Source organism: Homo sapiens, chromosome 6 (genome assembly GCF_000001405.40).
Source record: "Homo sapiens chromosome 6, GRCh38.p14 Primary Assembly".
NCBI classification, from domain to species: domain Eukaryota; kingdom Metazoa; phylum Chordata; class Mammalia; order Primates; family Hominidae; genus Homo; species Homo sapiens.
This window is the reverse complement of record NC_000006.12, coordinates 28858107-28874665: the sequence shown is the minus strand read 5'-3', so window position 1 is coordinate 28874665 and position 16559 is coordinate 28858107. Positions and strand designations below refer to the sequence as shown.

The 16559-nt window shown below is 45.6% G+C and overlaps 1 long non-coding RNA gene, 1 other non-coding gene and 1 pseudogene across 2 annotated transcripts, besides 3 other annotated features; 2 read left to right on the top strand and 1 right to left on the bottom strand.

Annotated features, from left to right (window-relative positions):
* Positions 1253 to 1774: an enhancer, noted in NCBI's record as "H3K27ac-H3K4me1 hESC enhancer chr6:28840669-28841190 (GRCh37/hg19 assembly coordinates)". NCBI's record gives its function as "activates a minimal SCP1, AML or CMV promoter by ChIP-STARR-seq in naive H9 embryonic stem cells {active_cell/tissue: H9 hESC(naive)}" and the evidence as "EXISTENCE:reporter gene assay evidence [ECO:0000049][PMID:30033119]".
* Positions 1775 to 2298: an enhancer, noted in NCBI's record as "H3K27ac-H3K4me1 hESC enhancer chr6:28840145-28840668 (GRCh37/hg19 assembly coordinates)". NCBI's record gives its function as "activates a minimal SCP1, AML or CMV promoter by ChIP-STARR-seq in naive H9 embryonic stem cells {active_cell/tissue: H9 hESC(naive)}" and the evidence as "EXISTENCE:reporter gene assay evidence [ECO:0000049][PMID:30033119]".
* Positions 8125 to 8797: an enhancer, noted in NCBI's record as "NANOG-H3K27ac hESC enhancer chr6:28833646-28834318 (GRCh37/hg19 assembly coordinates)". NCBI's record gives its function as "activates a minimal SCP1, AML or CMV promoter by ChIP-STARR-seq in naive H9 embryonic stem cells {active_cell/tissue: H9 hESC(naive)}" and the evidence as "EXISTENCE:reporter gene assay evidence [ECO:0000049][PMID:30033119]".
* TRA-AGC2-2 (tRNA-Ala (anticodon AGC) 2-2) lies at positions 10910 to 10981 on the top strand. The gene has a single exon. It is a non-coding gene; the product is annotated as a tRNA-Ala (tRNA).
* A 7-nt stretch (positions 10982 to 10988) lies between these two features.
* Positions 10989 to 15041, top strand: LINC01623 (long intergenic non-protein coding RNA 1623). The gene is made up of 2 exons (NR_033379.1): positions 10989 to 11382; positions 12651 to 15041. It is a non-coding gene; the product is annotated as a long intergenic non-protein coding RNA 1623 (long non-coding RNA).
* On the bottom strand, positions 12597 to 13279 carry RPL13P (ribosomal protein L13 pseudogene; annotated as a pseudogene).
* Positions 15042 to 16559: the final 1518 nt, after the last annotated feature.

Sequence of the window (16559 nt, the reverse complement as noted above, 5' to 3'; positions counted from 1 at the left end):
AGTCCCACTTTCTCTCTCAAACTGTCTTTTTCTCATTTCTGTGACTCTGCAGGACTTTGTCGCCCCCACGACCTGGTGTTGGGTCTGATCACCCCAACACTCAAATATGCCATTATTAAGCTATTGGTGTTGAAATAAAACTCACTAATTCAAAGCCACTCGGAGATTTTACTTTTCTCTACAGTACAGCCAGTTCTTACTAAAATGTAAACAATGAAACTCATTTGAAGCACAGAAAAAAGGGGATGTGGATAAATGAGGATTTTAAAAATCAAACTGGTATAGAAACTGCTTTACCCAAAATTGTGTTCCACAGTCTTTATTGGATTACCTATCAGTGCAAACAAAGTCTAGTCTTGTGGACAGGTCTCAATTTTGTGAAAAATAATTTGGATCTAGCTTTTCTTTTTTTTTTTTCCTTTTTTTTTTTTTTGAGATGGAGTTTCACTCTTGTTGCCCAAGCTGGAGTGCAACGGTGAGATCTCGGCTCAGTGCAACCTCCATCTCCCAAGTTCAAGTGATTCTCCTGCCTGAGCCTCTTGAGAAGCTGGGATTACAGGGGTGCGCCACCACTCCCAGCTACTTTTTTGTATTTTTAGTAGAAACGGGGTTTCACCATGTTAGCCAGCCTGGTCTCCAACTCCTGAACTCAGGTGATCCTCCTGCCTCGGCCTCCCAAAGTGCTGGGATTACAGGTTTGAGCCACTGCACCCGGCCTGATCCAACTATCTTTTGTAAAATAGTAAATTTATGATGTTGTCTCATGGCTAGAGTTCCAAGTAAAAGCTGTTGGATATTGGTTTGTGTGTATAGATACATGCTTAAATGTGTTTATGTGTATGTATATATATTATGTGTTATGCCTAGCATACTACCAAATGGCTTATACATAAATGAGTACTCATAAAGTCCAAATGCTTTTCAAGTTCATATGAATTTAGTAATCTTTAATAAATAATCTGGCTTTAAAATTATTGGTAAAATAAAAATAGAAATGTCCTTGAATTGTCAGCATACGTTTTTGTCTCAGTTTACCAATTAGTTTTACATTTGCCTCTGCTAGATATTTTAAGGTGTCAGGGTTTGACCTAAAGATCATAAGTCTGTAAACCCAGCCAAAAACAGAATGATCTTTATTTGTGTGATTTTTTGGTAAGTATGACTAATTTAATATTGTTAGGTCAGTGAAAACAGCTAAAATTCCTGAGTTATTGGCAAAAATGCCCATGTGTTTAACTTTAAAGTTCTTGCCTAGGTGAACACCTGACATTCACAGTTTAACAGAAAAAATAATTCAGAATGATGAGTAACTTTGTCTAATGTCTTCGTTCCAATGAGTAATCTAGGTAAACTGCTAAAAATGAATAAATTGAGTAAATGTAAGAGATAAATGCTTACGGGTGAACTTTTTGTGTAGTTTAAAACCTTAAAATTGTTTTAAGTACTTGTTGAATGTCTGGATCATTTCCAATTCAAAAAATGGCATTTATAATATAGGGCATTGGTCACACTGAGGTGACAGCGTGCTGGCAGTCCTCAGAGCCCTCGCTTGCTCTCAGCACCTCCGCTGCCTGGGCTCCCACTTTGGTGGCATTTGAGGAGCCCTTCAGTCCCCCACTGCACTGTGGGAGCCCCTTTCTGGGCTGGCCAAGGCCGGAGCCCACTCCTTCAGCTTGCAGGGAGGTGTGGAGGGAGAGACACGAGCGGGAACCAGGGCTGTGTGCCGCACTTGCGGGCCAGCTGGAGTTCCGGGTGGGCGTGGGCTTGGTGGGCCCCGCACTCGGAGCAGCCAGCCAGCCCTGCTGGCCCCGGGCAATGGGGGACTTAGCACCCGGGCCAGTGGCTGCGAAGGGTGTACTGGGTCCCCCAGCAGTGCCGGCCCACCCGCGCTGTGCTCGATTTCTCGCCGGGCCTTGGCTGCCTTCCCACGGGGCAGGGCTCGGGACCTGCAGCCCGCCATGCCTGAGCCTCCCACCCCCCTCCGTGGGCTCCTGTGCGGCCCGAGCCTCCCGGACGAGCGCCACCCCCTGCTCCACGGCACCCAGTCCCATCGACCACCTAAGGGCTGAGGAATGCGAGTGCAGGGCGCAGGACTGGCAGGCAGCTCCACCTGCAGCCCCAGTGCGGAATCCACTAGGTGAAGCCAGCTGGGCTCCTGAGTCTGGTGGGGACGTGGAGAGTCTTTTTATCTAGCTCAGGGATTGTAAACACACCAATCAGCACCCTGTGTTTAGCTCAAGGTTTGTGAGTGCACCAATCGACACTCTGTATCTAGCTGCTCTGGTGGGGCCTTGGAGAACCTGTATGTGGAAACTCTGTATCTAACTAATCTAATGGGGACGAGGAGAACCTTTGTATCTAGCCCAGGGATTGTAAACGCACCAGTCAGCGCCCTGACAAAACAGGCCACTCGGCTCTACCAATCAGCAGGATGTGGGTGGGGCCAGATAAAAGAATAAAAGCAGGCTGCCCGAACCAGCATTAGCAACCCGCTGGGTTGTCTCTTCTGCACTGTGAAAGCGTTGTTTTTTTCACTATGCGCAATAAATTTTCCAACTGGTCATTCTTTGGGTCCACGCTGTTTTTATGAGGTATAACACTCACTGCAAAGGTTTGCAGCTTCACTCCTGAGCTAGCAAGACCACGACCCCACCAGAAAAAAGAAACTGCGGACACATCTGAACATCAGAAGGGACAGACTCCACGCCCGCGAACTTTAGAGCTGTGACACTCTCTGTGAGGGTTTGCGGTTTCATTGTTGAAGTCAGTGAGACCATAGAACCCACCAATTTCAGACAACACTTCTGAGCCTCTTAGTGGGAAATGAAATCTGTGATGGGGGGAAGCATTGGCAGACCTCAGTGAGCTGGATAAAAATAACGATCAGGTCCACAGAGAAAGCAAAAAGGGGATAGGCCAAATATGCACCTGTATCCTTGCAGGTAATGAACATGAAACAATACTTCCTGCTATTGGGGGGGCACTCTGAAATCACCCAAACAATCCAGAAAGTACATAAGGTACAAATAGTCAGACTGGCCCAGAGCCCCTACAGCAGCCTTGTTTGGCCTGTGAAGAAGCCAGGTGATGCCTGGAAGATGATGGTGGATTACCGCTAGCTGAACAAAGTGGTACGCCCTGTACATGCAGCTGTATCCAATATTGCTCAACTGCTAGAGCAAGCAGTACCGAAGCTGGGAAGTATCCATTCTGTGACTGACTGCATTAATACCTTTTCCAGTATTCTTTCAGCTGAAGATTCACAAGACCAGTTGGTCTACACTTAGGAGGACCAAGAATGGACTTTCCAGGTGTCACCACAGGGGCATCTGCAAAGCCCCGCCATCTCTCACAGTATGGTTACACAGGAGCTGTCTATAATCTCTTTGCCTGCCTTGGTCTCCCTGTTTCACTATATTAATGATAACATGCTACCCTAGAGTCTCTTACAGATTTGGAGACTATCCTACAAACTGTTTTGGACAGCCTGAAGGAGGGATAGAAAATCAACCCCAAAAATATACAGAGGCTTGGCATGCCTGTCAAATTCCTGAGAGTTACCTGGTTGGGTAAGATGTGAAACATACCCAAAGCCGTCATTGATAAGATAGCATAGTAGTCTACTCTCCAGACAGTAGAGCAACTCCAGGTTTTCCTAGGTTTACTGGGCTACTGGAGGATATTCATTCCTCATCTGGCACAAATACTCCACCCATTATACACCCTAATAAAGACAGGTAAAAAATGAGATGACATAAATAGAACAAGAGGCATTTGACAAAACAAAAATATTGGTGAAACAAGCCCAAGCATACAGACTCTACTGCTGTATTAGTAATCACCAGAGATGTCACAGGGATGAATTTAGGTTTGGGGCAAAAGCAACTAATGGGAATGGTACCTATAGGGTTTTGGTCTCAGTTATGGGAGGGAGCCAACATGGCAGTGGAGCCACCCATCAGGCCAACCACCATATATAAGGGTACCCCGCCAATATCTGCTAGGCCCTGGTACATTGATGGGCATAGCAAAGATATCCAACACTGGGCATCAGAAGAAAATATAGACTGGACCAGGTGCGGTGGGTCATGCCTGTAATCCCAGCACTTTGGGAGGCTGAGACAGGCAGATCACTTGAGGTCAGGAGTTTGAGAGCAGTCTGGCCAACATGGTGAAACCCCATCTCTACTAAAAATACAAAAATTAGCCAGGCGTGGTGGCGCATGCGTGTAGTCCCAGCTACTTGGGAGACTGAGGTGGGAGAATTGCTTTAATCCGGGAGGCGGAGGTTGCAGTGAGCCGAGATCGCACCATTGCATTCCAGCCTGGGCAACAGAGCGAGACTCTGTCTCAAAATAAAAAAGAAGAAAATATAGACTGGAGGTTCCACTTACCACCACAATCCAACAGAGGCAGGACTTACAGAAAGAAATAATGGCCTGTTAAAGACCCAGATGTGTGCACTGTTTCAGGTTGGCTCTTTAAGTTCCTGGACTAAGAATCTCCATAAAGCCATACAAACTTTAAATGAGTCACCCACTAGCACACATGGCATCACTCCTTATAAATGGTTGGCAAGGCCTGTAAGACATGTCCCACAAACTCTCGGGGTTACCTCAAAGACACTGAGCCATGCTCCTGAGGCAGATGGTGAGACATGCTCCTGAGAACACCAGTGGATCTGCCAAGCAGTGATGGCTACAGGGACCTGAAGCTGAGCTGGAATATGCCTCCATACTGGATTAGTTTTATAGTACTGGAGGGTGGTGCCATGATAACTGCCATAGGGGCAGTGGTCCCAGCTGTGCTCCTTGATAGAGTTCCGAGAGACTTACTTTATCAACAGATGGCAGCACCCATACCTGCTGGAATAATTATAGTATGGATAGCATGGGCAAGGCTGGAAACTTATCAATTGGCTATTGTGGCTGCTTCTAGGAAAAGAAGACATGGGTGGTTTTGTAATCCAGGCCTGAAGCCCACAGTGGCATCCCTAATAGTGCCAGTGGGAGAAAACACAATGATAATAATGTTGCAAGGTGTGGCCAGGCGCGGTGGCTCACGCCTGTAATCCCAACACTTTGGGAGGCCAAGGCGGGTGGAGTATGAGGCCAGGAGATCGAGACCATCCTGGCTAACACGGTGAAACCCCGTCTCCACTAAAAATACAAAAAATTAGCCAGATGTGGTGGCGGGCGCCTGTAGTCCCAGCTACTCAGGAAGCTGAGGCAGGAGAATGGCGTGAACCCAGGAGGCGGAACTTGCAGTGAGCCGAGATCGTGCCACTGCACTCCAGCCTGGGCAACAGAGCAAGACTCTGTCTCAAAAAAATTAAAAAAAAAAATGTTGCAAGGAGTGAATACGCCTGTGAGAGTTCCTACTAACCACCTGTGTTTATACCCATAGGTTGTTCCTGCTACTCATGGCAGCTGGTAATGTCTTTCTAGACTGAGCTGCAACTCCAGAAGCAGTCAACAACCAGTCAGATACCTCTCCCTATAAAATAATAATGATATGCCTTAAAATACTCTGCCTTTCTCCTGACAGAACTGGAGTGACTTGTACAATAGCACTGATAATGCAACCCGGGCTCACTAAGGATTGCCTCCACCTAGAGGCTCAATCACCAACGTGACAAAGACCCAAAATGTGCCTTTCTAGGTGCTAACTGTTGCACCTATTTCCCTGATGAAGAGAGTAATGTCAGAGGTACTTTAAACCATTTGTCAACTCAGATCCATGATATAACCTAATTAGGTTTCTTTTACTCATTCTCAAATTGGTTACACAGCTTCTCTAGTCATGGGAATTAGGTTTTGCTAATAGACATTATAATTGTAGTTAACTTCTGCTTTTTGTGCTCCTACGTATACTGTAGATGTGACCTGTATGCGCAAGCCATGGCTAGACGTTATAGACCTGTATAGTTCTTTCCTTCCACCCTACTCAAGGAGTCTCACACAAGATTGGCAGAAAGAATGTAAGAAATGGGAGGCAGGGTGGATTGCAGCATGACAGATCACCCACCATGTCACTTAAGAGTGTATGTCTACTGCCTGAACCCTGAAGGCCCAGTGGTGAGCCAAGGCCACGATGCCCAGCAGAGGAGCAGGTGTCCTTGAGAACACAAACATCCCAGAGAGTATCTGAGAACCTACCAAGAAAAACAGTCTCATTGCTCAAACACAGTAGGCAAAAAGCCAGAAAATTAACTTAGAAACAGTTTAAAGACAGGAGGCGGCATGGATCTCTAGAGCTATCCTGCTGCACCCAGGAGTACCCTGTATCTAAGTCCTACTAAACTCACCTGCTTATTAAGCTGGACTGTCTTTGGTCTTCCGGGACCTTCCCAGTTTGGGGGGAACGTTACAATCCCAAGTTTTTCTTGTAATACTTTCCAATCTTTCTCCTCCCCTTGTTAACTTTCCCCAGATCCTAGTTTCAGTTTCTGTTGTGGCTAGATTTTCAGGCCCAGTGGTTTTCAAACTTGCCTGAATATCAAATTCAACTGGGAAATATTAAATAACACAATATTCCATAGATGTGAGGACGATCTAGCTGTGACATCTGTCACCCCATAATAATTCCTGGGCCCTTTTCTGGAGACTCTGAAAGCACTCAGCATCTCAGTCTCTGGGGTAAGGCCTGGGGATTCCTGTTTTTATTAACTCCCGCAGGTAAATTTTCACCTTTGGGGACTCCTGCAGTGTTGTCCCAAAAGCACTTATAGGAAGGTCTAGGGCAGAAAAACATCTTTTCCCACCCAGTGCCAGGTTCATGGCTGACACTTCATAATAAAAGATAGATTAACAAGGGAAAAGCAGGCCGGGTGGGGTGGCTCATGCCTGTAATCCCAGCACTTTGGGGGGCTGAAGCTGGTGGATCACCTGAGGTCAGGAGTTTGAGACCAGCCTGGCCAACATGGAGAAACCCCCATTTCCACTAAAAATACGAAATTAGCTGGGCATAGTGGCACACGCCTGTAATCCCAGCTACTCGGGAGGCTGAAGCAGAAGAATCGCTTGAACCCGGGAGGCGGAGGTTGTGGTGAGCCAAGATCGCGCCATTACACTCTAGCCTGGGCAACAAAAGTGAAATTCTGTCTCAACAACAAAAAAAAAAAAAAAAAAAAAGGAAAAGCATACAAATCAAACAAATTTTATTGACACAAGAGCCTTCAAAAATGAAGACCTAAAGAAATAGGAAAATCTGCGTACAGCAGACCCTTGAATAACGTTGTTTCATTCAACATCATTTTGTTATAATGTTGATGAGAAAAAAGTCTATTTCTCCTGGAAGCCACTGTCTGAGTTTCCTCCCACATCCCAAAAATGTGCACATTAGGTTCATTAGCATATCTAGTCTGAGTCTAGCGTCATCAGTCTGAGTGAAAGAGCACGCGAGCATATGTGTGAGTGTGTGTGTGTGTGTATGAGCCCGCCCTGTGATGGAATGGCCACCTGTCCACGGTGGGTTCCCTCCTGACACTATGAGGAGTTGAATTAGGCTTCAGCCACCAAAGACCTTGAACTGGAGTGAGCAGGTTGAAAAATGCATGAATGAATACAAGTTACTGTAAAAGCAAAATTCAGGAAGCATTTCATAATCCTACAAATGCATGACAATAAACGACATGGTGCTAAAACAGCCAGCCGCCATACTGAGAGGTGACAGCTTGCTGGCAGCCCTCACAGCCTTCGCTTGCTCTAGGCGCCTCCTCGGCCTTGGCGCCCACTCTGGCCGCGCTTGAGGAGAACTTCAGCCCGCCGCTGCACTGTGGGAGCCCCTTGCTGGGCTGGCCAAGGCCGGAGCCGGCTCCCTCAGCTTGCAGGGATGTGTGGAGGGAGAAGCGCAGGCGGGAACCGAGGCTGCGCGCGGCGCTTGCGGGCCCAGCGCGAGTTCCGGGTGGGCGTGGGCTCGGCGGGCTCCGCACTCGGAGCGGCCCCCTAATCCGCAAGCCCCGAGCAGTAAGAGGCTTAGCACCTGTGCCAGCAGCTGCTGTTCTCGACTTCTCGCCGGGCCTTAGCTGTCTCCCCGCGGGGTAAGGCTCGGGACCTACAGCCCGCCATGCCTGAGACGCCCCTCCCCGCCATGGGCTCCTGCGCGGCCCGAGCCTCCCCGACGAGCGCCGCCCCCTGCTCCACGGCGCCCAATCCCATCGGCCACCCAACGGCTGAGAAGTGCGGGCGCAAAGCACGGGACTGGCAGGCAGCTCCACCTGCGGCACCGGTGGAAAATCCACTGGGTGAAGCCAGCTGGGCTCCTGAGTCTGGTAGGGACTTGGAGAACGTTTACGTCTACCTAAGGGATTATAAATACACCAATCGGCACTCTGTATCTAGCTCAAGGTTTGTAAACACACCAATCGGCACCCTGTGTCTAGCTCAGGGTTTGTGAATGCACCAATGGACACTCTGTATTTAGCTACTCTGGTGGGGACTTGGAGAACCTTTATGTCTAGCGAAGGGATTGTAAATACACCAATCGGCACTCTGTATCTAGCTCAAGGTTTGTAAACACACCAATCAGCACCCTGTGTCTAGCTCAGGGTTTGTGAATTCACTAATGGACACTCTGTATCTAGCTACTCTGGTGGGGACTTGGAGAACTTTTGTGTCTAGCTCAGGGATTGTAAACGCGCCAATGAGCACTCTGTGAAGATGGACCAATCAGCTCTCTGTAAAACAGACCAGTCAGTTCTCTGTAAAATGGACCAATCAGCAGGATGTGGGTGGGGCCAGACAAGATAATAAAAGCAGGCTGCCGGAACCAACTGCGACAACGTGTTCGGGCTTTTTCCCACGGTGCGGAAGTGATTTTTCGCTCTCTGCGATGGATCTTGATTGTTCTTTGGGTTTACACTACGTTTATGAGCTGTAATTTGTTGATGGTCTGCAGCTTATCTTTTGAAGTTAGGAAAAACATGAATTCTCGGGCAAGAACAAACAACTCCGGAGGCGCCGCCTTAGAAGATGTAACACTGACTGCCAAGGTTTGCAGTTTCACTCCTGAGCCAGTAGAAGACCAAACCACCAGAAGGAAGAAACTCTATAACACATCCGAACGTCAGAGGGAATGAACTCTGGCTACACCGCATCTAACGATTGTAACACTCATCCGGAGGACTTGTGGCTTTCTTGAAATCAGTGAGATCAAGAACCCGCCAATTCCGGACACAATGTTTTACGAATTGTGTGTTAGTAGGAGTTGCTCCTTACAACTGCTATTTCACAAACATTTATTCCTTGATATAACCTGCCACCACTAGAATTGCAGTCACTGATTCACCAAAAATAAATCAATCATGTCGTTTTTGCTGATCTTAACTTGAGGTGCAGCTCATATTTTTTTCAATATTTAGTGTTAGAAGTGTTTGGAGTCCTTATTTAGAAATTTGGTGTTTTTGTGATCAGACATTTGCCAAGAAAATTAACTCTTAAATCAATTAGTCTAGTCTATGGTAGAATTAGTTTTATTTTGCTTAAAGTAATAGTTTCCAAAAACCAACTGACAATAAGTGAGGACTTCCTATATTTTTATGCTTAGGTTTGATGAAGTGGATAGTCCCATAGCAGTATAATTGGATAAAAGGGGGTATGATCTAATGGTTATAAACTGGGGTGAACTTAGCAAAGCCTGTTTATTCAGGTTCTCTTTGGCATCTCTGTGTCTTCGTTTATTTCCTCCAAGTACATTTTCTCCCCTCTGAATTGACGGTCTTATCACCTACTTTAATTGGAAGATCAGGTAGCTTTCATGGCCCGCTTCACGGAACAAGGGCCCAGAGAAAAACGTTTCTGCTTCTGCTGTTTTCTCAAATGCCGAGGTGTCGTATTTTGGGAGTAGTGTGACCTGAACCCAGTCAAAAGACGTCCGAGTCTTTCTAATCTCTGGGTCATAGGGTCGCCTTTGGCCTATGCATTGTACGTATACAGTATGGCATTTCGCATGTCTGTCCACTTCTAGGCGCACAGTCCAACTGGCTTTGACTGGTCAGGAAGGCCAGGCCTGGATCTGGGGTTGGTACTATAGGTTAGATGTTTTCAGGTTTTGAAGGAGAAACAGGTCCCTTAAGGATGAGAGCGAATCAGAAGAAGACAGACAAAAAAGGATTTAGGATTTGTTCCAGAAGCTCATTTCTGGATTGACTGTCGTACCAAGGTTTGGCGAACGGCGGCAAGCGCTTGCCAGTTTGTCGAAGAGTGGAGAGGTCAGTTGTGCCAAGGAGTGGAGAGGTCTAAGAACTCTCCAGGAGCACGGAGGGTTTATGCAGTCATAAATCGCCTTGCTTCTGCATACTTTTTATTCCGTGGAGGATTCCGCCCGGGCGATGGCGCCATAAATGCAGGTGCGTCCTGGCTCTTTTCTCTTCCCAGTGCGCATCTCGGCGACTCTCACCACCCGAGTCTCAGAGCCCGCGAAACGTAGCGTGCCAGGTTCTCCATCCCGAGGCTGGGCGCGGGAACCTGCAGGGGCAGTAACTACGACCGGGACAAGCCGATCTGCAATTCCCCTCCTGTTTTCTCTGCCCCTTGGACTTAAATTCCCACGGCGGCGTTTAGGGCTTTCGTTTTATCTTTCTGCGTTATGCTCGCGGTTTCCTGGCAACCTTTCCAAGCAGAATCACCCCATCACAGACCTTTCTCTGGGGGGCGGCCAGGCAGGACGGCTCCCTTATAAACCCCGATAGGTGGTTGTCGAGCGGCCGTCCGAGAGGGTGACCTGCAGCGGGAGATCCCAGGCCCAGCACGGGACTTTCGATATAACATTCAGTTTTCCTTCTCTCAGCGCAGTCAGGAAACAATATCCAGTATAGCGAATTCAAAATTAAGTTCGACAAAATATGCTTCTTGGCACGACCGATAATAGTAACAGGTCATAGAAATATTTTGGCCCACGTTGAGCGTTGGGGGGTGTAGCTCAGTGGTAGAGCGCGTGCTTAGCATGCACGAGGCCCCGGGTTCAATCCCCGGCACCTCCAGCTTCATTTTTCTCCCGCCTTTTCTCCTAGATGTGCCTTGTTTGCAAAATCATGTCTATCATGTCCACGACTCGCCTCAATTTTTTTTCTTTTGTTTTTGTGGCACTTTCATTCTCTCTCAATTCTTCAAATTCACATGGAAACCAAGGAAAACAAGCTCCGTTTTGCTTTCAATATTGATGCATTTCTGCTCTAAGGCTTTGACACCACCCTGGGTGGCTGTGTCAAGAGATGAAAGACAAAATGAAAGAGGCCGCGGAAGCACAGACTGGCAGAATTCCAAAACCCGAAAAACAAGCAAGGCACCAAATTAACAAGCCCAATCACATTGGTTACATTTCCCAGTATTATCGAAGATCAAGCAAGAAAGAAAAAGACAGAAAACAAATGCGAAACCACAGGTAATTTTTTACAATTTATTTTAGATCCTTTCTTTTTTGAGCTGTTCCTTGGTCAAGGGACAGACCCAGAAAATAGGAAAACTGTCCCACGGATTTCCCCACCACTCTCTTCCCATCGCAATCTCTTTTCTTTTCCCCCATCAGGTGTCCTCTTGTTCGTCCGATTTTAGACTTTGTAAGCTTTTTGTAGGCTTTTTTTTTTTTTTTTTTTGGAGACAAGAGTCTCACTCTGTCTCCCAGGCTGGAGTGCAGAGTGCAATGGCACCATCTCGGTTCACGTGCAAGCTGTGCCTCCCAGATGCAAGTGATTCTCCTGCCTTAGCCTCCCGAGTAGCTGGAATTACAGGCATGATGCACCACCATGCCCGGCTAATTTTTTTTTTTTTAGTGGAAACGGGGGTTTCACCATGTTGGCCAGGCTGGTCTCGAACTCCTGAACTCAAGTGATCCACGATCCACCCGCCTCTGCCTCCTAAAGTGCCGGGATTCCAGGCGTGAGCCACCACGCCTGGCCTACTTTGTATGCATTTCTTTGACTCATTGTTATTGTTTCTGACTTTATTAGGGTAACTTTTATTAAAGCATAATGTAAGCTTTGGATCCAAATAGAAGTTCTTTATTGTGTTAAATAAATTGAAGCCTTCGTATCTGGCTGACTTGAAGCAGCACTTAGCTAGTTTTAAAAGATATGGAAGGCAATCAGAAAACAAAGATACATATCCCCACTCCCTTCTCTTCCCAATTCTAACCGCAGCTCACATTTTGAAGGGCCTCACACATGCATGTGTGAACATCTCAACATATTAGCGGTGGCAGTTATCTGTAAGGAGTCTGCAGCAACATTAATTCTTGCCTCCTCAGGAGAAGGAAAGAATTCGATTGAGGAGCATAATGCCGAAGGAGAGACCGAGGCAAGTCTTAGAGCAGGGGTGAAAAATTATTGAAAATATTTAGAGCACTAATGAAGGAAAGTACACTTGGAAGAGGGCCAAGCAGGCGACTTGAGAGACCAAGTGCACGGCTTGACCTCTAGACCTGGGGTCGTAAACGTTGGCATAGTTCCTAAATCTTGTGTTATTTCTCCCCACTCCTGAGATCTTATTGGGAAGTGACCGACCACCAGTTTCACGTGTTTTCTATCTGTTAAGAAACTGCCTTTCTCTGTCAGAGGAAGAATCAGTTTAAACTTTATAGATTTCTTTTAAAACGTATTTATTACAAGTCCCCAAGAGGGCTTTATTTTTGCTTTCACACATCCTGTTTTTCAGCTTCCTTGGCTCTTTTTGCCCATATGCCGAAGAGCCGAGCATTGCCGCCAAGCATTGGCACCGGCCATGCGGAGACTAGCGAAAGCTTTGCAATTCCTCTACTTCTCAGTGATGACTCGGGCTTTCTCCTTACATTCTTGATGGGCATGACCGGTCCTGTCAGCTGGGTGGCCAATTTCTGTTCTTCAGCAGAACTGTCTCCCTTCTTGGGGGCCGAGGGCTTTCTGGGGAAGAGGATGAGTTTGGAGCAATACTCATTCAGACGCTGCACATTGGCCTGCAGGGAATCGGTGGACTTGTTCTGCCTCCTCGGATCCACAGAGATGCCAGTGGTCCGGGTCACCTTCTTGTGAATGCCCGCCACCCTGAGCTCCAGGCTGAAGCCTCTGCCGGCGCGCACCTTGATGTGATAACGCACAGCAGGGCACAGCACAATGGGCCAGATGGGTCCCGACTCTCCGGGCGCGGGGCGATGCAGCGCCCTTTGGCTTGCCGGGCCTTGATTCTGCGGATCTTCTGGTTGAACCACGTGGCCACACGCTGCTGCCAGTCCTTGTGGAAGTGGGGCTTCAACATCATGCCATTCCTGCTGGGCGCCATGGCTGCCTACGGCCCTCCTACGAAGGAAACACTTTATAGATTTCTATAGCAGTGTTACATAGTAAGGTTTTATGGCGAGTTTTGTAGCATGGATCATACTACCTTAGGACTGATGGTAAAGTTTTAGTCTAAGGAAAGCTCTGAAAATTTGAAAATGTGTAACCACCCAATGAGTTCAGCTTGCCCACTGCCTAGACAGAACCATTTATCAAGACGGGCATGCAAAGCCGGCTGTGTGGGAGACCCGTTTTATTATTATTCAAATCAGTCTCCCCAAGTGGATTGCAGTTTTTAAGGATAATTTGGTGGGTAGGGGACCAGTGAGTTGGGAAAGTTGATTAGTCGGGTCGGAGATGAAATCAGAGGGAGTCGAAGCTGTCCTCTTGTGTTGGCTTAATTTCTGGATGGGGGCCACAAGACCAGATGAGCCAGTTTATCGTTATGGGTGGTGCTAGCTGATCCATAGAGTACAGGGGCTGCAAAATATCTCAAGAACTGATCTTCGGTTTTACAATAGTGATGTTATCCTGAGGAGCAATTGGGGGAGGTTTAGAATCTTGCAGCCTCCAGCTGCATGACTCCTAAACCATAATTTATAATCTTGTGGCTAATTTGTTAGTCCTGCGAAAGCAGTCTAGTCCCCAGGCAGGAAGCGGGTTTGTTTTGGAAAGGGCTGCTATTGTCTTTGTTTCAAAGCTAAACTATAAACTAAGTTCCTCCCAAAGTTAGGTCAGCCTACGACCAGGAATGAACAAGGACAGCTTGGAGGTTAGAAGCAAGATGGAATTGGTTAGGTTAGATCTCTCACTGTCTCAGTTGTAATTTTGCGATGGTGTTTTCAAATGTTGATTTAAAGAAGACCATAAATTTGTGTTGCTTTCTCAGATTTTGAGAATAAGGACAAAAAGTGTATGTTTTAATGGGAGAATCTTAAGAATTTCACTACTGAAGTGGATTTCTCTGTCCATTAACAGTGCTAAATGTTTTGTATTTCCCAGTTGGAAAAACAAAATCTGCAAGCTTTGAATGATACTTGTTATTAGGTTTTGGTAACAGCTGTTGTACTATTCCCATTTCAATGCTCAATAGCCACACGTGGCATGTCATACCTACCAGGTGGACAGCACAGATATAGAACATTTTCATCATTGTAAAAAGCCCTATTTGACAACACTAACTTAAAGTATTAATCTTTTAGAAGAGAAAGCTTCAGTCCAACCCAAATTACACAATTTTACTTTTGAAAATATTGTTGAAACAACGTTCAATTTTTTAAAATTTTGGAAAACTGAATGAAATCCATTTGTAAATGCGCAAATGGTACTGGAGGTGGAAAACTGAAGCCTTGCTATAGTTTTAGTTTTTTGGAGGGTTATGATCAACACAGAGAAGAAAAGATTCATCTACCCATAGAGCTTCTTGAGAAAAATTTTCTAACAATAATTTTGAAAATTTGTAGTGAATTTGTTCTTGCCATTATTTATGGGTGCTTTCATGTGCGAGGCACATCAAAGTTCTGGGGAATGACTTAGGCACAACCAAATGGCTATCTTGGGAAGACCAAAGTCCTTTGCTATATATGAGAGTTTTGAGATGGCGACTACCTTTCTGTATGGTAGATTCTTGTTTTTGAATATGCCCTCTGGGTTTTCAAAACAAATTGTTTTTACAATACCTATAGTAGTTATCTAGGGCATATTCTTTAGCTTCAAAAATTCTATCTTTAGAATGGGCTTCAATATTCATAACTGAGTTATTTTCCTCTAATAAATCATTAACATTTTCCCATGTTTTATTGTGGTGTTCATGGTAGTTTAAAATACCTTATAATAGCATATAATATGTATGAACAACCTGAAAATATATGTATGTGAACAACCTGAAGCCACATGTACTCTCAGTATACAGGTTAATTCTTAAACCTTCAACAAGATGTCATGCTCAAATTGGAACTACATTTGTGCTTCACACAAAGACCTTTCCGTCAATGACTGACTACATGTACGACCATGGTTTTATAAGACTATAATACCATATTTTTACTGTATCTTTCCTGTGTTTAAGTACACAAATACGTATCTGTGTGTTCCATTGCCCTACAGTATTCAATACAGTAACATGCTGTAGTGGTTTGTAGCCCAGCAGCAATGGACTACACCGTATAACCTAGGTGTGGAGTAGGCTATACCATCTAGGTTTGTGTTAAATACTCTCTAAAATGTTTGCACAGTGATGAAATGCCCTAATGACTAATTTTTCAGATCATATCCCTGAGGTTGATCTAGGCATGACTGTATTAGTCCAGTCATCTGAGTAGATGTTGGCAAAAGGATAGTTTCCGTTACAGAAAATTAAGATGGCATATCCAGTAGAAGAGCATACCTTGAATTTGTTTTATTTTTAATTTTTAAAAAAAGTTTTAGAGCAGTTTATAAGCAGTTTTTAAGTTTATAAGATCACATAAGTTCATTTACCATATTCTACCACCATAACTTGACGTAAGCCTGAATGAACATTTTATAAGCTCAGCCTTACTGTATACTAAGTTCAAGTTTACATCAAGTTACGGTGATAGTATATGGTAAGATGTTTTGCCCTGAAAGTCCTTATTTTAAAATATGTATAGTTAAACTGACACATAACAAAGCATGTGAGACAAAAGAAAAGAGGAGACAACCAGATGGATTCTAGTGAGTTTGAGCTGCCATCCTCTGACTTGCACGCAAGGGCAAAGATTCACTAATCCAACAAGTGCTTGCTAAAGATTTAGGGGAAATAACATTGCTTTTTTATTTCATTTTCCCCCAACAGTTCATTCCATTAATAGTGCTAGGAAGTTTTGACATGAGAATAGGAACACTTTTCTCGGGTTTTGAAGGGCCTTGTATAGTCATGCAAAGAAGAGCATCGTACAGTCATACAAAGTCTACAGTATGAGGGTGTAGCACAGATATAAGGTACTGGATTATATCTCTTTTTTTTTTTTTTTTTGAGATGGAGTTTCACTCTTGTTGCCCAGGCTGGAGTGCAATGTCGCGATCTCGGCTCACTGCAACCTCCGCCTCCCAGGTTCAAGCAATACTCCTGCCTCAGCCTCCCAAGTACCTGGGATTACAGGCATGCGCCACCATGCATGGCTAATTTTGTATTTTTAGTAGAGACGGGGTTTCTCCATGTTGGTCAGGCTTGTCTCAAACTCCCGACCTCAGGTGATCCGCCTGCCTCAGCCTACCAAGTGCTGGGATTACAGGCCTGAGCCACCGTGCCCGGCCATCTCTATTTTTTAAAAATATATTTGTGTGTAAATGT